The sequence below is a fragment of the Homo sapiens genome, chromosome X, assembly GCF_000001405.40.
Source record: "Homo sapiens chromosome X, GRCh38.p14 Primary Assembly".
NCBI lineage: Eukaryota > Metazoa > Chordata > Mammalia > Primates > Hominidae > Homo > Homo sapiens.
The window spans coordinates 18,286,132-18,308,799 of record NC_000023.11 but is presented as its reverse complement, the minus strand read 5'-3'; the positions used below and the strand labels follow the sequence as shown (position 1 = coordinate 18,308,799).

Below are 22,668 nucleotides of genomic sequence, written 5' to 3'. Positions count from 1 at the left end.
TCCATATCTGGCTATTGTGAATAGTGTTGCAGTAAACATGGGAGTGCAGATATCTCTTCAATATACTGATTTCCTTTCTTTTGGTTATGTACCCCCAGAAGTGGGATTGCTGGGTCATTTGGTAGTTTTATTTTTTTCTCTATGCTTTCTCACCAACATTTGTTATTTTTTTGGTCTTTTTGATAATAGTCATTCTAACCGGGGTGAGATGGCATCTCATTGTGGTTTTGATTTGCATCTCTTGGCCATTTCTGTGTCTTCTTTTGAGAAATGTCTATTCAGGTCTTTTGCCCATTTTAAAATCAGGTTATTTGTTTTTTGCTATTGAGTTGTTTGAGTTCCCTATATATTCTAGTTATTAATCTCTTGTGATGGATAGTTTGCCAGTATTTTCTTTCTCCCTTTCTGTAGGTTGTCCTTCCCTCCCTCCCTCCCTCCCTCCCTGTCCTTTCCTCCCTCCCTGTCCTTCCCTCCCTCCCTTCCTTCCTCCCTCCCTTCCTCCCTTCCTTCCTTCCTGTTTTTTTTTGTTTTTTTTTTTTTGAGATAGCATCTCACTCCGTTGCCCAGGCTGGAGTGCAGTGGCACCATCTTGGCTCACTCCAACCTCCACCTCCCAGGCTCAAGCAGATCCTCCTGCCTCAGCCCCCTGAGTAGCTGGGACTACAGGCATGCACCACCACACCCAGCTAATTTTTTTTTTTTCTTTTGAGACGAGTCTTGATCTGTCACCCAGGCTGGAGTGCAATGGCATGATCTTGGCTCACCGCAACCTCCGCCTCCTGGATTCAAGCGATTCTCCTGCCTCAGCCTACTGAGTAGCTGGGATTACAGGCATGCACCACCACACCTGGCTAATTTTTGTATTTTTAGTAGAGACGGGGTTCCACCATGTTGGTTAGGCTGGTCTCAACCTCCTGACCTCATGATCCACCCACCTCAGCCTCCCAAAGTTCTGGGATTACAGGTGTGAGCCAATTTTTATACTTTTTTAGAGATAGGGTTTTGCTAAGTTGCCCAGGTGGTCTCTAACTCCTGGGCTCAAATGATCTGCCCACCTCGGCATTCCAAAGTGCTGGGATTACAGGCATGAGCCACCATGCCTGGCCTAGGTTACATATTTGAATCTTAAAATTAGTTCTATTGCATTGCTTATTCCAGTTTTTTAATTGTTTTGTTGCAGAAAATATACATTGCCATTTGAACTTAGTTTGCTTTGCTACAGAAAGTCTCAGTCTGTTATAAGACAGTGTAAGGTCCTGGGATCCTTATGTGTGCCTTGAATGTTTTCTGCATTCTGTGAGCATCTAGCACAAACTTGTCAACTGCCGTGTTTATTCTTTGTTAAATGCAGCTTACCTCCCCACTATTTTCTTCTCATACATAGTAACAGGCAGTTAACCTTTAGCCCTTTCATGTAACACTGCTTCTTACTTACCAGCTATTTATCAAATACTTTGATCTTTAATCATCTACCTTTTGACTTGCCAGCTTTCAGGGTGGATTTTTTTTTTTTGAGGCAGAGTCTCACTCTGTTGCCCAGGCTGGAGTGCAGTGGCAAGAACACGGCTCGCCGCGGCCTGGATGACTTCCGGGGCTCAAGTGATTCTCCTGCCCCAGCCCACTAAGTAGCTGGGACTACAGGTGTGCTGCCACCATGCCCAGCTAATTTTTGTATTTTTTGCAGAGACGAGGTTTCGTCTTGTTGCCCAGGCTGTTGTCAAACTCCTGAGCTCAAGCAATCCACCTGCCTTGGCCTCCCAAAGTGCTGAATTAGGGATTACAGGTTTGAGCCCAGGGTGGTTTTTAAGAATCAAATTAAGATATGTAATTCAGCCTGGCATGGTAGCTCACACCTGTAATCCCAGCAGTTTGAGAGGCTGAGGTGGGAGGATTACTTTAGGCCAGGAGTTCGAGACCAGCCCGGCCAACATAGCGAGGCCCTCATCTCTATAAAAATAAAAATTAAAAAAAGAATATGTAATTAAAAGGACTTTGGAAGCTAATAATTAAGGAGCTTCCAGATCGTAAGGGTGTAAAGAGTAACAATAGAAAAATACAGGGTGATGAGATGGGTTTTAAGGGGGGCATTTGAAAAAGAAACCAACCTACCAGATATATTTTTTAAATTGATGAGAGAATTAGTTGAGAGCTTATTTACTGTTTTGGGGTGATTCCTTGGTTCTCTCATTTAAAAAATTGCTTGCTTTTGGTTATTGTGCTGGAAATAATAATATGAATAGCTGTTTTTAATAATCTCTTAGTCTCATAGAGGAATGAACACATTTCTATAGTGATACTACAATTGAAGATGAGAGTGGCTCAGTTGGAACTGGGCCTAGGAGTGGGCAGGGGTTGGTCAGGGAAGCATTCAAGGAAGCTAGGAGAACTGGGCTTTAAACTGGGTGAATTGGAGTTGTCCAGGCAGATGCTGGGGTAGGGTGCTCCAAGGAGGTGACTCCGAGACAGACTGCCTAGGTTTAAAATCCAGCTCTGATTGGGAGGTTGTGGTTTTTAATTGAATTATGGGTAAGTGAAAGGGATGAATCTAGGGTAGTGGTTCTCAACCTCAAGTGCACCTTAGAATTTCCCTGATAATTAAAATATTGCTGCTTCCCAGGACCCACCATAGATCAATTATTAGCTCTGGTGGTGTGGTCACAGGTGATTGTAATGTTCATTAGGGCAGAAAATCACCAGTCCAGGACTACTTTTTTTTAAATTCTTTTCTTTTCTCTTTTAATTTGAACAAGTGTCAGTAGAATAGGATTACTATTTCCAGTCTTTTGGCTTAGGTGACTGGGTTGCTGTGATGGTGCCATTTAGTAGGATGAAAAGCAGATTGAAAGAAAAGATGTTGCTTTTAACATAACACTTGGGCTTTTTAGCAATCCTGTTAACATTTACGTGCTTTAACCTTTTTGTGACTAATACTTTTAAAATGTTGATTTCTGGATTGGGTATTATAAATGACCCCATACTATATGACTTTCATGTTCTTGTGTCTGTATTTTATACTTACAGTTTCTTTTTTTTTTTTAAATTTTAAGTTATTCATTTTCTTTAGAATTCTTATACTTTGAGTTTCTTTTAGGATATTATCTGATGTCGTTTCTTTTCTTTGGACTTACCACTTTTTGACACACCAATTTACATATTTGTTAGGTTTGTTTGACTGCCTGTTGTAAAATTTCTTGTTGATTGCTTTTCCCTGTCCGCAACCACTACTATCACCAGCATTAGAATGTAAGCTCCACCAGAGCAGGGATGTTTGATATATTTGTTCATCAATGAATCTTAAATTCCTGGTACATAGTAGATAATACATATTTCTTGAATGAATGAACCCGGCTGGTTTTGTTTCTTTCCAGGTTCTTGACTCTGCTCCAGAGAAAATATGAGATGTTGGAGAGCAGAGTTTCAGATCTGTGAGAACTGTTGTCTTCCTGTATTAATTGATAATTAAACATGGAGCTTAATTTTTGGTTGCTAAGGGTTGTGAGAGAATACGCAACTTTTCACTTCGAGCACATGAGTCTTAATACATCTTAACAATGAAATCTTTTTTTTTTTTAATGTTTTGATAGGAACCACCAAAGCCCCCACTAAATAATTTTAAAGTGGGGATGAAACTGGAAGCTATTGACAAAAAGAACCCGTATCTCATCTGTCCTGCGACCATTGGAGATGTTAAAGGGGATGAAGTTCATATCACATTTGATGGCTGGAGTGGAGCTTTTGATTACTGGTGCAAGTATGATTCTCGAGATATTTTCCCAGCTGGGTGGTGTCGCCTGACAGGAGATGTATTACAACCCCCAGGAACTAGTGGTAAGATAATAATTAACTACTTTTTCTTCTACTTTATTGAAGTTAGATGTAACTGTCATTGGTGGCATTGTGATTAGCGTTGGTGGTACCAGGTGGTACATGCCCCAACTGGTGGCAGACAGAACAAAGCGCTGTCCAGGCTAGAGAACTGGAGGTAAAGGAAAGCTATGATTAGAATTCTTGAGGTCACTGCAGCATCATAGTCTGAGTTCCAGTCCACACTGGAGATTATGGACAAAGCTAAAAGTCATATTTGGACCATTGAGGTCTTGTTGCTATAAGCAAGGGGGGTGGTATGTACTCAGCTCCTTTTATAGTTGATATTCAATTAAAAATTATACATGGTATTCCATTGTTCATATCTCAAAGATATTTTTTAAAAGACTGGGCTTAACAACTGTTATAAACATGTCTTACATGATTTTTGTCCTGTTTTTAAGTTAAATTGACACTTTGATAGCCTTAAGTTAAATCTACAGTGAAAATTTTTGACTCTGTGGAAGCCATCATAAATTAGTATGCTATTTTAGTCATGGTAATGTTTATTAGTTGTAACGGTGTTTCCTAAGCTGAGTACTATGATCTTCTAGATATTTTCTTTCAGAGAAAAGCTGTCAACATGTTGATGTTCCTTGGTGACTCTTTCAAGGGCTTAGATATGCCTAACCTGGTCTTCTATGATGGAGTAACTGCTGAGGCTTAAGTGGGGTCTAAGCATAGAACCCAATCATTGGCCTAAGTTAATATAAACTTAGTGGGATTCAATTAGCCGGGCGCGGTGGCGTGTGCCTGGAATCCTAGCTACTCAGGAGGCTGAGGCAGGAGAATAGCTTGAACCTAGAGGGTGGAGGTTGCAGTGAGCTGAGATCGCGCCACTGCACTCCTGCCTGGGCAACGAGAACAAAACTCCGTCTCAAAAAAATAAATAAATGAAAAATCAACTTAGTGGGATTGAATATAAACATACTTAAAAAACTAACGCTACTAAGTATATTTATTTTTATGAGAAAAAAAGATAGATGTAGAAAATAAGTACGCAAAGTGTGCAGAGGAGTATAATGTCTAGGTAAGAGCTTATAGCCATATTATTCTTGCAATGGCTGTTAGAATCATCTGTAATTCGGGACTTTAACACATTCCATTATACTACAGTACTGTATACCACAGTGTCCTTTTTATTAGGTACATCTTTAACCAGTTTCCTGCTTCCATAAGTCTAGGAAGTAGATATTAATGGTTGATTTTGTAAAATTTAGTATGATACAGATCTGTGTGTATATGATATTAAGATAAATAAAACATAGTCTCTACCCTCAAGAAGTTTACCTTCTAATGGAAGAGGGATGCATGGAGGCATAGATTTGTAAAAAGAAGATATAGTATTAGCAATGCAAAAATAGAGATGTATGCTAGATGTGGAGGTGGCCCAAAGTCTTCCAGTCTTGGCTGGAGGGAAAGGTGGTTGCATAAAGGAAAGCATCACAAAAGGTGCATGATGTGAGTATTAGATGAGAAGCAGGAGTTTGCCAGGCAGAATGGAGATAAAAGTAGGATGGATACATAACAAAAGTGCAAAATTCCAGTTTATCCTAAAAACTGACGAGTTCACTTTGGAACACAGTGGGTTTGGAACGTGTGGCTGAGAATGCTGTTGTCCTCCAGTATTTCTTCTCTCTTTTTTTCTTAGTATTACAATTGGCTGCCTAACATACAGACTCCTAGCAGTATGGTATGGCCACGAGACTAAGTCCTGATTGATGGAATAAAAGTACACATAGTGTGTACTTTCTCCAGAAAGTATATTATAGAGAGATGAGCATGTCCTTTCCTTTTCCTTCTTTCTGCTTTTATCCTGCTGTTACGAATGTGGTTTTGACTGGAGCTCCATCTTGGAGCATGAGATGGGGACCATATGCTAGGCACTGTGGAGTGGGTGGAAAGCAGCCAGGAGCCAGAGTCCCTGAGAACTTGGTGGAGCAGAGCTTTCATACTAGCCCATATTATCTGTTTTCAGACAATTGTGAGAAATAAACTTCTATGTTATATAAGTCACTGTTCTTTTAGGTTTTTCTATTACTGCTAGCTGAACTCAATCCTAACTGATTCAGGGTAACTTTGGGACATCCAGGTGCACATGTTCATTGGATAGCTGCACATGCAGATCTGGAGCCTAAAAAAGATAGGTCTTGTTGACAAAGCAGGTTTGAGAGTCATCATGTTCCCTCAGATAAATATTCTTTGTGCCAGGTGGGATTATAGGTGCTTGGGATGGGAGGGTGAGCAGTTTACTTATTTTGTTGATAGCAGCAAGTGGTGGAAGTTTTGAGTGTGTTTTAATTGTGTGTGTATAACAAGTAGAGGTAGAAAAGGACCAGGACAGAACCTTGTGGGTCGACATTTAAAGCAGTAATTATCACTCTTGAATTGCCTGGGGGAGCTTGTTAAAAGGGAGTGCTCGGGAACTCACATCCAGGGGTTTGAATCCGTGGGTTCGAAGTGGGGCTCAGTTGTTTCCAGTGCACATGGTTTGAAGCCTGAACTTTGAGAAGCACAAAAATAAGGAATAGGTAGTAGAAGTCAATCTAGGACACTGGAAAAAAGTATACGTAAATGTAGGAGATCACTAGGTTGGCTTCCATGGCAACAGGAGAGAAAAGATTTTAAGGAGAAAGTACTCAACATTATCAAAGGCAGTGTAAAAGTCAAGCAAGAGGAGAACTCGTTAGCGGTCTTAGTAAAACTGTGGTTACTCGGCTTCTTTAAAAAGCTAGATTTAGAGAGTCAAGGAGTAAATAGGAAATGTACAGTGTTAAAAAGAAAAAAAAAAGAAAAAGAAAAAGTGGTTTCCCAATACTTTGTGAGATCTGCTTCCTCTGTCTTTACCCCAGTTGACATTCACTTTGAGTGAACTTTAGAAATCTTACCTCACTTTATGTCCCTTTACCCTCTATTATATATAATTGTCTTCAATATTGAGAACCACATTAGTATTATAATTTTTGCTTCCACCATCAAACATAACTTAGAAAACTCAAGAGAAGGAAAGTCTGTTGTATTTATTTACATTTTTACCCTTTAAATTGTTCTTAATTCCTGATTTTCAAGATTTCCTTATTTTATCATTTTCTTCCTGTTTAGAGAACTTCTTTTAACCATTCTTTTAGGGTTGGGTGGCAACAAATTCTCTGTTTTTTGGAGACAGAGTTTCGCCGTGACACCCAGGCTGGAGTGCAGTGGTGCAATCATGGCTCACTGCAGCTTCAACTCTCCAGGTGCAAGCAATTGATCCTCTTGCCTCAGCCTCGCCAGTAGCTGGGACTACAGGCACGTGTTACCATCCCAGGCTAATTTTTTAAATTTTTGGTAGAGACGGGGTCTAACTGTATTGTCCGGGCTGGTCTTGAACTATTGGACTCAAGTGATTCTCCCTCTTCAGCCTCTCAAAGTGTTGGGATTATAGGCATGAGCCACCACACCTAGCCCTCCTCTTCATTCTTGAAGGATAGTTGCTGGACATGGAATTCTAGGTTGATAATTCCTTTCATTTTTTTCTTTTTTGATTTTTTTTTTTCCTGAGACGGAGTCTCGCTCTGTCACCCAGCCTGGAGAGCAGTGGTGTGATCTTGGCTCAGTGCAACCTCTGCCTCCTGGGTTCAAGTCATTCTCCTGCCTCAGCCTCCTGAGTAGCTAGGACTACAGGTGCCCACCATCACGCTCAGTTAATTTTTGTAATTTTAGTAAAGACGGGGTTTCACCATATTGGTCAGGCTGGTCTCGAACTCCTGACCTTAGGTGAACCACCTGCCTCGGCCTCCCAACGTGCTAGGATTACAGGTGTGAGCCACCTTGCCTGGCCAATAATTCTTTTCTTTTCACACTTGAAAAGTATTCTGCAACTTCCATCTGGCTTCTGTGGTTTCTGATGAGAAATCTACTGTTATTCAGATTTTTTTTCCCTTACAGACTTCATATAATTATGGATTTGTTTTTTCTTGTATTTCTTTCAGTGTTTGCTTTCTGCTTTATCTATTTTGTGGCTGTATTATCAAGTGTGTACCAGTTTTGAATTATTATAATTTCCTGGTGAACTGAACCTTCCACGGTAACCTGATTTATTTATGGTTTTTCTCCTTTTGCTGGGGAAACCAACCTAATGATTTTTTTTTTCTTTTTTTTTTTTTGAAACGGAGTCTTGCTCCATTGCCCAGGCTGGAGTGCAGTGGTGTGAACTTGGATCACTACAACCTCTGTCTCCTGGGTTCAATTGATTTTCCTGCCTCAGCCTTCTGAGTAGCTGGGATTATAGGCGTCTGCCACAACACCCGGCTAATTTTTGTATTTTTATTAGAGACAGGGTTTCGCCATGTTGGCCAGGCTGGTCTTGAACTCCTGACCTCAGGTGATCCACCTGCCTTGGCCTCCCAAAGTGCTGGGATTACAGGTGTGAGCTACCATGCCTGGCCGATCTTTTTTTTTTTAACCTTAACGTCTGCTTTATCTGATGACCAGATTTTGTGTGGATGATGTTTTTGTTATCTTTTTCTGACTAAGGCTCAAACTTTTTTTTTTTTTGAGACAGGGTCTCACTTTGTCACCCAGGCTGGAGTGCAGTGGTGTGATCTTGGCTCAGTAAAGCCTTGACTTCCTGGGCTCAAGTGATCCTCCTGTCTCAGCTCCCCAAGTAGCTGGGACTACAGGTGCGCACCATCACACCTGGCTAATTTTTGTATTTTTAGTAGAGACCGGGTTTCACCATGTTACCCAGGCTGGTCTCGACCTCCTAGTCTCAAGTGATCTGCCTGCCTCGGTCTCCCAAAGTGCTGGGATTACAAGCGTGAGCCACCACGCCTGGCCAAGAAGTTGCCATACTGTTTTTCATAATGGCTATACTAATTTACATTCCCACCAACAGTGTATAAGAGTTCCCTTTTCTGGCCAGGCATAGTGGCTTACCCTATAATCTCTACACTTTGGGAGGCCGAGGTGGGAGGATTGCTTGAAGCCAGGAGTTTGAGACCAGCCTGGGCAACACAGTGAGACTCTGTCTCTACAAAAAAATAAAAAGGTAAAATGGGCATGGTGATACGTGCCTATAGTCCTAGCTGCTGGGGAGGCTGAGGTGGAAGGATTGCTTGAGCCCTGGGGCTAAGAGATCCCAGTGAGCTATATTCATGTCACTGCACTACAGCCTGGGCAACAAAGCGAGACCTTGTCTCTATTTAAAAAAAAAAAAAAAAGAGTTCCCTTTTCTCTGCATCCTAGCCAGCATCTTTTTTTTTGTCTTTTTAATAGTAGCCATTCTAACTGGAGTAAGATGATAACTCATTGTGGTTTTGATTTCCATTTCTCTGATGATTAGTGATGTTGAGCATTTTTTCATATACTTGTTGGCCATTTGTATGTATTGTTTTGAGAAGTGTCTATTCAGATCCTTTGTCCACTTTTTTTTTTTTTGAGACGGAGTCTCACTCAGTTGCCCAGGCTGGAGTGCAGTGGCGCGATCTCAGCTCACTGCAACCTCTGCCTCCCAGGTTCAAGCAGTTCTCCTGCCTCAGCCTCTCGAGTAGTTGGTACTACAGGCGTGTGCCACTATGCCTGGCTAATTTTTTTTTTTTTATTTTTAGTAGAGATGGGATTTCACCGTATTAGCCAGTATGGTCTCGATCTCCTGACCTCGTGATCCGCCCACCTTGGCCTCCCAAAGTGCTGGGAATACAGGCGTGAGCCACCTTGCCCAGCCCCTTTGTCCACTTTTTAATTAAGGGATTATTAGTTTTTTCTTGCTGTTGAGTTCCTTGTATATTCTGGTTATTAGTCCCTTGTGGGATAAATAGTTTACAAATATTTTCTCCTATTCAAGGGTTGTCTCCACTCTGTTGATTGTTTCCTTTGCAGTGCATAAGCTTTTTAGTTTTATGTAGTCCCACTTGTCTGTTTTTGTTTTTGTGGCCTGTGCTTTTGAGGTCTTAGCCATAAAATCTTTGCTTAGACCAATGTGCTGAACTGTTTCTCCTATGTTTCCTTCTAGTAGTTTCATAGTTTTATAGTTTCGGGCCTTATGTTTAAGTCTTTAATGCATTTTGAGTTGTTTTTTGTATATGGTGAGAGAGAGGGGTCTAGGGGACTAGTTTCTTTTTTTTTTTCTTTTTTGTGAGACACAGTCTCACTCTGTCACCTAGGCTGGAGTGCAGTGCAATCTTGGTGCACTGCAACCTCTGCCTCCTGGGTTCAAGCAGTTCTTCTACCTCAGCCTCCCGAGCAGCTGGGTTACCCATCAGTTAGAGACGGGGTTTCCCCATGTTGGCCAGTCTGGTCTCGAACTCCTGACCTCAGGTGATCTGCCTGCCTTGGCCTCCCAAAGTGCTGGGGTTACAGGCATGAGCCACCACGCCTGGCCTAGTTTCATTCTTTTACATATGGATATCCAGTTTTCCTAGCACTGTTTATTGAAAACGGTGTCCGTGTCCCAATGTACGTTCTTGGCGCCTTTGTCAAAAATCAGTTAGCTGTAAATAGATGGGCTTATTTCTGGGTTTTCTGTTTTATAGGTCAATGTATTTGTTTTTATATTAATACCATGCTGTTTTGGTTACTATAGCCTTGCAATGTATTTTGAAGTCAGGTGGTGTGATACTGCTCTCTTTTTTTTGCTCAGGATTACTTTGGCTATATGGGCTCTTTTTGGTTTCATATAAAATTTAGGATTGTTTTTTCTATTTCTGTGAAGAGTGACATTGGTATTTTGATAAAGATTGCATTGAATCTGTAGCTTGTTTTGGGTAGTGTGTTCATTTTAACAATATTAATTCTTCTGATCCATAAGCATGGGATGTCTTTCCATTTGTTCATGTCCTCATTAGTTTTTTTCATCAGCGTTTTGTAGTTTTTCTTGTAGAGATCTTTCACCTCCTTGGTAAAATTTCTTCCTAAGTGTTTTCTTTCTTCTTCTTCTCTCTTTTTTTTGAGACTGGTTCTTGCTCTGTCACCCAGGGTGGAGTGCAGTGGCATGATCACGGCTCAATACAGCTTCCACCTCCTGGGCTCAAACAATCCTCCCACCTCAGCCTTCTGAGTAGCTGGGACTACAGGCATGTGTCACCATGCCCAGCTAATTAAAAAAATGTTTTTTGTTTTGTTTTGTTTTTTGTGTTTTTTTTTGTAGAGACAGGGTCTCACTGTGTTGCCCAGGCTCCTGGACTCAAGTGATCCTCCTGCCTCAGCCTCCCAAAGTGTTGGGATTACAGGTGTGAGCCACCACACCCAGTGTTTTATTTCTTATGTGGTTATTATAAGTGGAATTTTCTTAATTTCTTTTACAGCTATTTCATTATTGGTGTATAGAAACACTACTGATTTTTGTGTGTTGATTTTGTATCTTGCAACTGTACTGAATTTGTTTATTAGATCTAAGAATTTTTTGGTGGAGTCCTTAGGTTTTTCTAAATACAAGATCATGTCACCTGCAAAGAGGGACAATTTAGTGGTTAGAAAGTCGTGTGAGGAAGTAACCACTTGAGCCAAAGCCAGCCCACGAGGCACAATTTGCCTTCCTTTTTTCCATTTAGATTCCTTTTATCTCTCTTGCCTAATTGCTCTGGCTAGGACTTCCAATACTATGTTGAATAGGAGTGCTGAAAGTGGGCATTCTTGACTTGTTGCAGTTCTTAGAGGAAAGGCTTTCAGCTTTTATTCAGAATGATGTTAGCTGTGGTTTTGTCATATGTAGCCTTTATTATGTTGAGTAGTGTTCCTTCTGTGCCTAGTTTGTTGAGAGTTTTTAATCATGAAGGACGTTAGATTTTATCAAATGCTTTTTCTGCATCTGTTGAGATGTATGGTTTTTGTCCTTCATACTGTTGATATGATGTATCACATTTATTTGTGTATGTTGAACTTATCGTTGCATCCTTGGGACAAATCCTACTTGATCTTGGTGTATTATGTTTGGATTCAGTTTACTAGTGTTTTGTTGAGGATTTTTGCATCTATGTTCGTAGGGAAATTGACCTGTAGTTTTCTTTTTTTTTCCTTGTGTCCTTGTCTGGTTTTGGTATTAGGGTAATGCTGGCCTTGTAGAATGAGTTAAGGAGAATTCTCACCTCTTCAATTTTTTGAAATAGTTTGAGGAGAATTGGTGTTCTTCTTTATAAGTTTGGTAGAATTTAGCAGTGAAGTCATCTGATCCCAGCATCCCAAAGATGTTGGGAGACTTTTTATTACTGATTCAGTCTCATTGCTTGTCAATTGGTCTGTCAAGGTTTTCTATTTCTTCCTTATTCAGTCTCGATAGGTTCTATGTGTCCAGAAATTTATGCATTTCCTCTAGGGTTTCCAATTTGTTAGTGTATAGTTGTTCATAATAGTCTCTGATGATCTTTTGTATTTCTGTAGCTTTTGTTGTGATGTCTCTTTTCGTTTGGGTAGTTTTCAGCTATTTTGCTAAATAGGTTTCTCTGCCTTTGGCCTTCTTTTCATCTTTTGAAACATCCAAAATTTGTATATTTGTTTGCTTTATGGTGTCTCATATGTCATGTAGGCTTTCTTTATTCTTTTTTTTTTGTCTGATGGGGGCTATTTCAAAGGACCTATCTTCCAGTTCTGAGCTTCTTTCTTCTGCTTGCTCTAATCTATTGTGAAGCTCTCAAAGGAATTTTTTATTTAATGCATTGAATTCTTCATTTCTAGGGTTTCTCTTTGGTTCTTTTTATGCTATCTATTTCTCTGGTGAATTTCTCATTCACAACCTGAATTGTTTTTCTCATTTCTTTGTATTATTTATCTGTGTTCTCTTGTATCTCACCGAGCTTCTTTAATATCATTATTTTGAATTCTTTTTCAACTATTTCTTTTTCATTGGAATCTGTTGCTGGAAAATTATCGTGTTCCTTTGGAGGTGTCACATTTCCTTCTTTTTTCATATTTCTTGGGTCTTTACATTGATGTCTGCACATCTAGCATAATAGTTGCCGCTTCTAATTTTTTGGACTGGCTTTTATAGGGGAAATCTTTTTTTTGAAGATGTATTTATGTGTTGGTTGGATAGGATACTTTAGCTTTGATTCTGAGTGCATGAAGTAGTGAAGTTTCTCTATGAGTTATTTGGCTGTAAACAGTGTCATTAGTGTTTGTAATTTCCTCAATGGCTTAGGCTGCAGTTGTTGTTTGAGGCTGTGGTGAGGTTTTGCTGTGGATGAGGACGCCAGGTGGGCCAGTCCTCAGGCCCCAGCGATGGCAGTAGAGGGCCGAGCGTGCCTGTTCTTGGGCCCATGGTCAGTGTATATGGACACCGGTGTCATCTGGTCCAAACTGGCTGAATTTGGGCTTGCAGGTGGCTTGATAGGATATCAGCAGTGGCAGTGGTGGGCTGGGTGGGCGGGTAGGTCCTTGGTTCTCTGGGTGGTGTGTGTGGTGTAGGTGATGGCGCTAATGGTGATAGGACGACTTTTGGGCCCCAAAGCAGCATGTGTTCATGTTAACAGTGCCTGCAACAGGCTGGGTGGGCCAGTCCTCAGGCCCCCAACGGGTATGTGCCAGTGGGTGCTGGCTGAGATGACAGCGGCAGGCTGGCTGGGCCCATCTTCAGGCCTCCAGGAGGAGTGCATAGCAGTGATGGTCAGGGCGGGGCAGTCTCCAAGCTCCCGGGAGGTATACTTGGGCAATGAGAGAGCAGTGCCAGCTAGCCATGCCTGTCCTCAGGTCCCTGGTGGTGTATTTGGGCACTGGCTGTGGTGGGCAGGGTGGGGCAATACCCTGGACCCCTGGTGCAGTGCTTGGGTGGCAGCAGCAGTGGTGAGCAGGCAGAGCAAGTGTGTATGCAAGTGTGCCTCCGTACTGCTGCTTGGGAGAGCTGCAGCCACAGACAGGCAGTTCTCAGGCCCTGGTGGGGGCATGTGCTTTAGCCCCTGGTGGTGGCGGCTGTGGTAGCAGCAGGGAAAACCAGTGTGCAAGTACGCAGAGGTGGCCTTGCTTCTGGGGGTGGGGGGTAATTGCTAGTGGTGCACACTTAGGCCCCCAGTGGCAGCTGCTGTGGGCAGTGTTAGAGTCTGTTCTCAGAGTCTGTGTGAAGGAGCCCTGCTACTGTGGAGGGATTAAGGTTGCTGTCAGTAGTAGTCCTCCCAGGTAGGTGGTTCTTAGACTCTATGGAGCACGTGCTTTGGCTCCCTTTGTCCTGGATCGGGGTGGGCAGCCTCTCCAATGTGCTGCACCATTTGTTCCCCAGGGTGCAGGACACTGTGTATGGTAGAGTGCTGGGGATCTTGCCACTTCGCTGGGTCTAATGGTTGTTGTGCCACTGCAGCCCTCTGGGTGGATGTTGGGAGATGTTGGTGGGGCTCTAGGGATGTGGAGATGTAGGGGTTGTTGGGCTTCAGGGCAGGATGCAGTGTGGTGGGGGCTGAAGTCTCAGAATGGCGCTGTGCTACAGTTGCTTAGGACTTGGGACGTGGGCTCACTTTCTAGAGCAATGATGTTGCATGATCTCTAGGCAGGTCCTTAAGCTGTTCTCAGGGCCTGTGATGGGTTTTTCTGTGGCTAGGGCTGGCGGAGTCCATGGTGGGAATATTGACCACTGTGGATCTCTCACTTACCCTTTCCCCTCACTGAAGAGCCTCTTCGGGCTCTCAGCCAGTCTTGGCCAAACTGGCTGTCTTGCGTTCCTCTCTTTTCATGCCTCGGGTGTTTCCTCTTACTTCTTAGATTCCAGTGTTCCTTCTTAGATGCTCAGTTTGAAGATTATATACTTAATATTTTGGTTCTTCTTTGTGGAGAAGAGGAATATTGGAAGCCTCCAGTCAGCCATCTTGAAGTGATTTACCTATTGTATCTTTAAAAAATCTCATGGACTATTACTATTATTACTTACATAGTCAATGTTTGTTGAGATTTACCCACATATTTAGCATGTTCTTTGCTTTTTATTCTTGACATCTCAGACCTTTCATCTGGGATTACTTTTCTTCTTTCTGAGGTAGATCCTTCAGAATTTCCTTTACTGAAGGTCTGCTAGTGGCATTCTGTCTTGGTTTATGTTCATTTGAATATGTCATTATTTCAGCTTTGTCCTCGAAAGACACTTTCTGTGATGGTAAAATACCAGGTTGGCAGCCATTCTCTTTCAGTACAATGAAGACATTCTTTTGACTTTTGGTTTCCATTATTGCTGTTGAGAATACAGCTGTCAGTATTTCTCCTCTGACTGTAATCTGTCATTTTAAAATCTAGCTACTTTAATCTTTTCATGTCATCTTTGGTGTTTTACAGTGTCACCATGGTAGTTCTGTTTGTAGGTTTTGTTGAATCTTGATGTCTTGGCAAAACCACACATATACAAATACACTGTTTACTTTCATTGTGAGAAATTAAGGATTTCAGATGGCACAAGTAATTCAAGGTTATAAAGCAGTTTTCTTGATAGCCTTTTGAATATTGAGTACAAATAGTCCAAACCATGTTAAAGTAGAATTTGGAAGCAGTTAAGAGTAGAAACAAATGTATGCCCACTGCTGCCACAATCTGTTTTATAAATATTCCCAGAAGTCCCCAGAAGAACTTTGGGATTCTGGGGAAAGTATGGTTAAAAACTTGTAGTTGGCGTTCACCCAAAGATAATGCATGTGTGATTCATTTTGCTTTTTTTCAGGCATCGCTTATTAATTATGGATAGGTTAATAGTGGTTAGTACAGTGAAATACTCTTTTTGAGTAGAGAAAACATTTAGGCAATACACCATTTATTTAGATGTCAGCTATAAAATAAAAGTACAGTTTTTTAGATATAATTTGTATATTCTTGAAAGCAAAATATTTTTCTAATTATTTTTCATTCTAATTTTTAACATAACAATTTTCTTCTAATAGAAAAAGTAAATGCTCAAAGCAAAATATTGGGAAAAGCTTTTGGATACAACTATCGCAAGCAGTGTGGTATTTGGCTTCATACTACTTTTCTTTTCTCTTACACATATAACTTTAGAAAACACACACATGGTCAAATCAGTGGAGAAATGTTGAAATAAGTTATGGTATAGTTGTTCTTTAGAATAATTATAGAATAATTTAGAATGAGAGTGTTTCTAGTTATACTAAGAAGGAAAGCTCTCTAAGATATATTAAGTGAAAAAAGTAAGTCCCCTCAAATATATACAGTGTAATACTGTTATGTCAAAACAAAATAAATATGTATTTCTATATGTACCTTTAGAAATATGTGTGTAAATATGTAAAAAAAATCTGGAAGGCTATATATCAGATCTATAATACTGATTATTTCTGCGAAGGATGTTGAATGGTAAGGGAAGTGGTAATGGGGACTTTTGCTTTTATCTGTGGCTTTTTTTTAAAAAAAACAAGAATATATTTGTATATAGGATTTGTGCTTTAAAGTAAATAAAATGACAATTTTCGTTTGAAAAGGGGTTATTGTGTATATTCTGCTTTCTTGCCTATTTTTTTTCATAATCTGTTGTGACTGTATTCCCATGTAAAATATCTCTATAAATTGAAATTTATGTCTGCACTGCATTCCATTGTATGGCTGTTCCATAATTTACTTAACCCAATCTCTATTTTGTTAAGCATTTAGAATATTTCCAGATTTGTTATTAAACTAGATGATATGATGAATACTTTTATGTATATGTCTTTGTATACCTCTCTGTTTCCATAGATAACTTTGCTAGGTTAAGGGGTATGTTTTTAAGGCTGACAAGTGGTCTTTCAGAAAGGTATACCCATTTCCGCCAACCTCAGAAGTAGGTGAAAGTGTTTTTTTCCTACTCTGGCCAACCTTGGGAATTATTTTTCTTGTTATTTTTTGCTAATTAAAAAAACAATTGTTTTCCAAAATTTCATTTCTTAGATTACTAGTGAGATTGAATCTTTTTCTTTCCATGTTTTTTGGTCATTAATATTCCTTTATAGTTTGCCTGCTAATCACCTTTTCCCATTTTTCTCTTAGCGTGTTTTTTCTTATTGATTTGAGTGCTTCATTTATTGCACATATCAACGCTGTGTCATAAAAGTAAAAACTTTTTTCCAGTAGTTTGCTTTTTAATGTTAAAGTTTTTTTAACTGAGAGAAATATTATTTATTGACTTGAATGTTAAATACTTTAAATGTCTTAGAGTTAAATAATTTCAAAAGGCACACATAATATTAAATTAATTGAATTCCATAAATTAAAAAAATCTGTATTTTTGTTTATTTTGAATGTTTCTATTCTTTTTTTTTAAACACATCATTCAAATGACAATACTTTGAATATTTCTTAAAAACACTGGAAATGTTTGCTCTCAACTTTTATATAACAGCTTTTCCAAAATATTTTAAGGTCGTAGCACTTAAAACTTTATAATTAATAACTAAAGAAATACAGTTGCCTAGTTTCTTAAAAAATGTAACGAGGCATCTATGAATGCTCCTTGATAGGACTTTACATTAAATAAATGTTTATTTAAGCTTTACTGGTTTCCTTTTCAAGGATAGTAATAAAGTTTAATTTACTTTAAAACTTTTTCTAACAATTTTTAAAAACTGTGTAAATACTTCTGTGATCAGAAACAGCAAAAATTTGCATTAGGCTTATTAATGGTAGAAAAAAATCACTGAGAAACTTACTTGGATAGAAAATTCAGCAAGCTGTGTGGCTTTTTCCCTCTTGTTTATTTAAGTTTTCTTTTCTTAGCTCTTGTTATGACCCTACAATCTTTCAAAGCCCTTAGCTTCTGGTTGGTGCTGTCACAGCTCATCAGATTTACTCACGAGACCCGTACAGAGTGTCTGGTGAAAAAGAGGAAAGGAACATATGTGCTGCTGTGTCCTTGGCAACTTGCAGAAGGCTGAATCACGCAAATGAAAACGAGGCCCATTGTAGATTTTCTTCTTGCAAACTTATTTGATCTTGCCGTTTTCCGTTTTCAACGTGCTCCCCCCTCTTCTGTATCTTATATTTTAGTTCTCTCTAAAAAATAATAGAAATTTAGGAATGCCCTGTAAGCTACCGTTTTTTCCCTCATATTGCCATTCCCATGTCTCCAGTGCATATATACTTATAGGAGTATATGGCCAGTCATTTCATTAAAGTCCAAATATTTAATACATGAAAGAGCAAGACAGGATAATCCAGCAACTTAGAATCAGAACTAGGACTACCTTGTTTTGAAGGCTATGTGAAAAATTTTTTTAAAATCTCTTATTTTTCTTGTCTTTTTTGGGGAAAGTTTGTAAACTCATTACTATTTTGTCTCTATAATTTTATTTATTAACATAATAAATAAATACAAATTATTAGTCTTTGGAGAAATTAGTCTTTTGAAAAACTAAGAAGTAAAAGATTCTTTTAAAAGTTTGCCCCCAGTATTAATTGCTTTCATTATTATGGGATGTTCAAAGTTTTTAACTTTAGCTTCAGATTTATGTATCATTGATTGTAACTTAATGACCTACACTGGTCTGAAGTGTCATCTTGTAGCCTAATTCTTTAAGCAATTGTGACCTTACAGACTAGGAAGGAGGGCAAGCAGCAAACTTCCAGATGCCGAGTATAAGGTTGCAGGATCCCAAGGGTATAGAGGAATTCTTCTGGTCCAAAGGGAACCGTGGAGGAGGGGAAAACCTAGAATCAGGAAAGTGTAGCAAAGCATTCCTGTCCTTTGGCATCGTAGGCTGCCAGTGACCATCTTAACTCTTTTTGATAAAACCTTCCCGTTTATTGGGTCTTCTGTCCCCCTACATCTCACAGATACAGCTTTATTTAGAATTGGAACTCAGTGGTAACATGGCATTTCCTTCACAACTTACTTAAATAGACCTTAAAGGTAATTAATTATTTTGGGCAGTGTTAGCTGCTTCTTTGAATGCTGGTTTATTTTATGGGCAAGTATGTGTGTGGTTTAGTTTTTTCTTAATTAAAACTTTAAGGGAGTGGGTTTTAAAAATCTAAACGTTTGATGTTTTAAAAAAATGTAACTGGTCACTTTAGTAGTTTTTTTTTTCTATTTTGAAAAACTCTAATGTTTTCCTTCTTAACTGTTTCAAAGTTTGTCTTTTGGGAATTTTTTTGTTCAGCAAACAAGAAATAGGTCTACTTTCCACACTCCCATCCCATTCTCATTTTTAAGAAAACAAAACTAGAAATTGTGGCTGCTTTTTGCTCTTTGTTCAGGTATGCGCAGAGAGGAGTATGTGGTATCTGTAACTTGTGCTTCATCTCTCTAAATTTTAAAATTAAGATTTTATAGCTTTTAATGCATGTATTCACCAACTTTCTCCCTGTTTTTGTAGGACTGTGTATGTTCAGTTACAGCCACATAAAGCAGCACTTTTTATTTTTCTGTGTAACAGTAGGTCAAAAGTGGCAGAGGTGCATATAACTAAGGTTGTAAAAAGTTCGAGGTGTGTTAGTCCCACTAGAAGGCTTCTGAATAAACACTTGAGTATTTACGTAGATTTTTGCCCTTAATGTAGTTTATAATAAAATATGGACTAATATACTGAGTATATTCAGTACTCTTGTTTGGTATAAATGAAATGGTTAGAAATGCTGTCAACCTAAATGACTGACTCAAAAGCTATGAAATTTAATACAGCTGATATTTTCTTTTTCATATGAACAGCTTGGAACAAATGTTTTGCTTGTGCAAATGAGATGGCTATTATGATGCAAAGAAGCATCTTGGAAAAAAAATTTCCTTTTTCTGTTTTAAGTGTTCCAGCTAAATACTGCAACAATTGCAAGCAGAGTCTGGAGATTTTTCTTTCTTGCTTCTGTTGTATGATATATTTTAGCAAGTTCTCTTGAGACTATTAAAATGTCTTGGTTTTTAGGACATGTGATCAGGTGGGGATAACTTTGTCTATAGATGCAGTGGGTTAGCAGTTAGATTTTGCATGTCTTCTCATTTCTTTCTAGTTTCTCTGACCCCGGGTAACCTTTGGAAGGACCTTTGGTTCTTCTGAAGGCAGGAGTGAAGGAGGTTTGAGCAGGTGACTGATGATCACTGTCTCTACAGTCCACAGACAATATACGAATTACTTTAGCAGTCCCCTTAGTCCCCTCCTCCCACTCCTCCCCCCTTAAACCAACAAATGCAAATAGCTTCATCCCCATTTGCTAGAAATTCAGGCTTGCTCAGGCAACATGGGCTTTGTTGACTTGCTTTCTCCAGAAAGGCAATTTTATTCCTGGTAAGGAGCAAGGCTATCCTATCATTTGGAACCTAAATCACCTTAACGGTAAAAACAGCAACAACTTGTTTCTCTGGAATATTGATAAAGGTACGAATTACTGCAAAAGTTTTTTTATATTGTAATTGAAGTGTGGTTAAAGAAATTCATTGTCTGCTTTGTTAGCTTTTGTATACTAAATATCTCGGTAATTTTGGTTATCTCAAAGATGTCCTCTGTTTTGTTCTAAATATTACTTATTGAAATTGTTGGCACTATTATTTGAATAGTCACTTCTAAAAATTGTTTTATGGTACAGGGAAAAGTAAGCCTTTGGTTATTTCTACCATAAAAATGTTTTTTTTTCTTTTTAAAAAGAATAGTCCTATTGTAAGTCAAGTTTGATCATTTAAATCACCAGTTTGTAATGACACTGTTGTCATTTTTTAAAAAATAGTTTTTAGGGATGTGACAGTAAATGCTTTTTTACTGGTATTACCTGAGATTTATTAAAAGTTTTTTTATGATACAAAAATGTGAATAACATTTTACTAATTAAATATATTAATACATCTGATGTGTTTTTTTGGAAATTGTAGCAGAGACAGCTAAGATTTTTTTTTAACAGTAGCATAATGGAAGTTACTCTGTAGAAATAATTTAGGAAGAAACAAGATACTAAGGTTTAAAAATTGAGTGGCTTTTAAAAGCTCATGTTGCTAGATGAATTATGAATTGACCTAAAACAACTGAAGTTGCTTCTTTTTGTGTGAACTTTCTTCTGAAAATATTAAAAGCTATGGAGATTATCATATTTTTAATAATGTCATTTTGACCAAAATCTTGGTTCTTTTGAAGTAAGCACATATGAGTAGCAATTGTGAAATAAAATAGTCTTCATAAGAAGCATCCCCCATGAGGCTGAAGGGGGGAGTAGTTTACAAATAGTGTCAGTGGTTGATTGGCAAGTAGAAAACAAACATGTTTTAAAAACAAGATTCTTAGAGCCTTTCTAAATTCTAATTGTGATTTCTAGCTTGTTCTTGCATTTTTATGATTTTCTTTCTAGGCTGAATACTTATGGGGATATAATTATATAACAGGGTAGGGAAACGATGTAAATTTTACTAAATTAGATTTTCTTATTTTAATTTAGCATATATGCCAACTTAAAATGGCATTGTCACTTAGGTATGGCGGTAGAGAACAACTTTAGCTGGTCTTTTGTTTCTTAAACAAAATACAGGTTAGAGAACTATCCTTTAATGTCTCATTGGGTTTGGGAAATTTTTCCCAGTAACATTGCAAGATTCCAGTAACCTTAAGATAGAATATTCTATGCAGATTAAGGTATAATGTTTTATAAGATATATGAAGTGTTTCTTCTTCCTTCTTTAATCTGTTTATCTTAGGTCCCCAAGCCCTGTTTTGAAGTGGGGGAGGAGGGAGTGAATCAAAACTATAGATCCTTTCAATATATTTGGTTTTGGTTTAGTTACCCAGACCTAATTTTTAAAAGCTGCTGGAAAAGACGTAACAGCGCTTCCTAATGAGAAGTTCTGTCAGACCCCCAAAGCAATCTAATTTAAACGAAATCTTTACTTTTCTGAGTGAGTGATTTCTTTCTTTTTGTGTCGGAATTGCTTTTTATTATATGTGTTAAACATGTAATTTTTAATACTGTAAAACTGATATCTTTGGTGTTGAGAGGGAAACCTACATGGACCATCAAGGAGACTCAGGAAGGATGGTGAAGGAGCTAAGGCAGCAGATTCTGGGCTTGTTTTAGCTCTTGAACTCTGGCCATGTCATCCATCTCTGCTTGATAGATGAAGAGAACCCTCTGGTTCAAATAGGGAAATTGGTGCAAGGTCCAACAAGGGTTAAAATATGAAAAGGCAGGTACAATTTTTATAAAAACTGGAACAGCTACCACTGAAAATTAAAGACTGTGTTTTCCTTTGTAACTTCATCCCTTTTCCTTGTGGTGATCAGTTGCAAAACAAATCTTTGAAAATGAAGGGAGGGGAACAAAAGGGCCTTTTGTGCTCGTTTTGGGTACAGTAGGAAGTGGGAGAAAGAATGAAAAAGTAGTATCTCAGAGAAGTTTTTAAGTGATGATACAAGGAAGAGTGCTAACCTGTGGGAGGCAAGGTTGAGGTGTGGGAGGGATGTCTGACTAGAACAGAGGATGCCCTGTTACTATGCATGGAGGTAGACACTGTGTGTTTCTGACGGTCAGCTACTTGGGCAACAGAAATGCTTTTACCATTATGTTCTGCTGAGTCAGTTTCTTTGAATGATTACTGCCTGTAGTACTGAGGTGATCTATTCTTTAATTCTGAAATTGCTGGAGACTGAGTTGCAGATTATTGTGTTTTATTTGTGAGGATTCTAAAGGTCACTGCTGGCATGCAGTGAGCCTGCGTGGGTATTTCTAATGTTATTTTTAATAGGTTCACATATGCTAGTCTAAAAATTTTATAGCTGTTTATCTAAATAGAATATTATAATGCTAATGTTAAATCATCATTTTCTTTAGAGACATCTATGTATTTAGAATGGCTGGTTCTATTGTTACTCAAAGAAGTGGCTAAGTTGTTTGTTTTTTTGGGGACATTTTGTATTTTTAATGACAAAATTGGTATGTATTATAGAACATTTAGAAAATAAGTGATAA

The 22,668-nt window shown here is 38.8% G+C and overlaps 1 protein-coding gene across 6 annotated transcripts in view; it reads left to right on the top strand.

Moving 5' to 3' along the window:
- Nucleotides 1–22,668, top strand: part of SCML2 (Scm polycomb group protein like 2) — a 115,806-nt gene that overhangs the window by 46,319 nt on the left and 46,819 nt on the right. For 5 of the 6 annotated variants that reach the window (NR_033717.2, XM_017029219.2, XM_006724458.1 and 2 more), the window contains exon 7: nt 3,585–3,828. Coding sequence is in view for 4 of the 6 variants with exons in the window: in XM_017029219.2 (XP_016884708.1) it covers nt 3,585–3,828 (244 nt within the window). In the remaining 2 variants the exon portion in view is untranslated. Of the gene's footprint in view, nt 1–3,584; nt 3,829–14,177; nt 20,100–22,668 lie in introns of those variants that run through there. The other variant, XM_017029222.2, reaches the window with a different exon arrangement.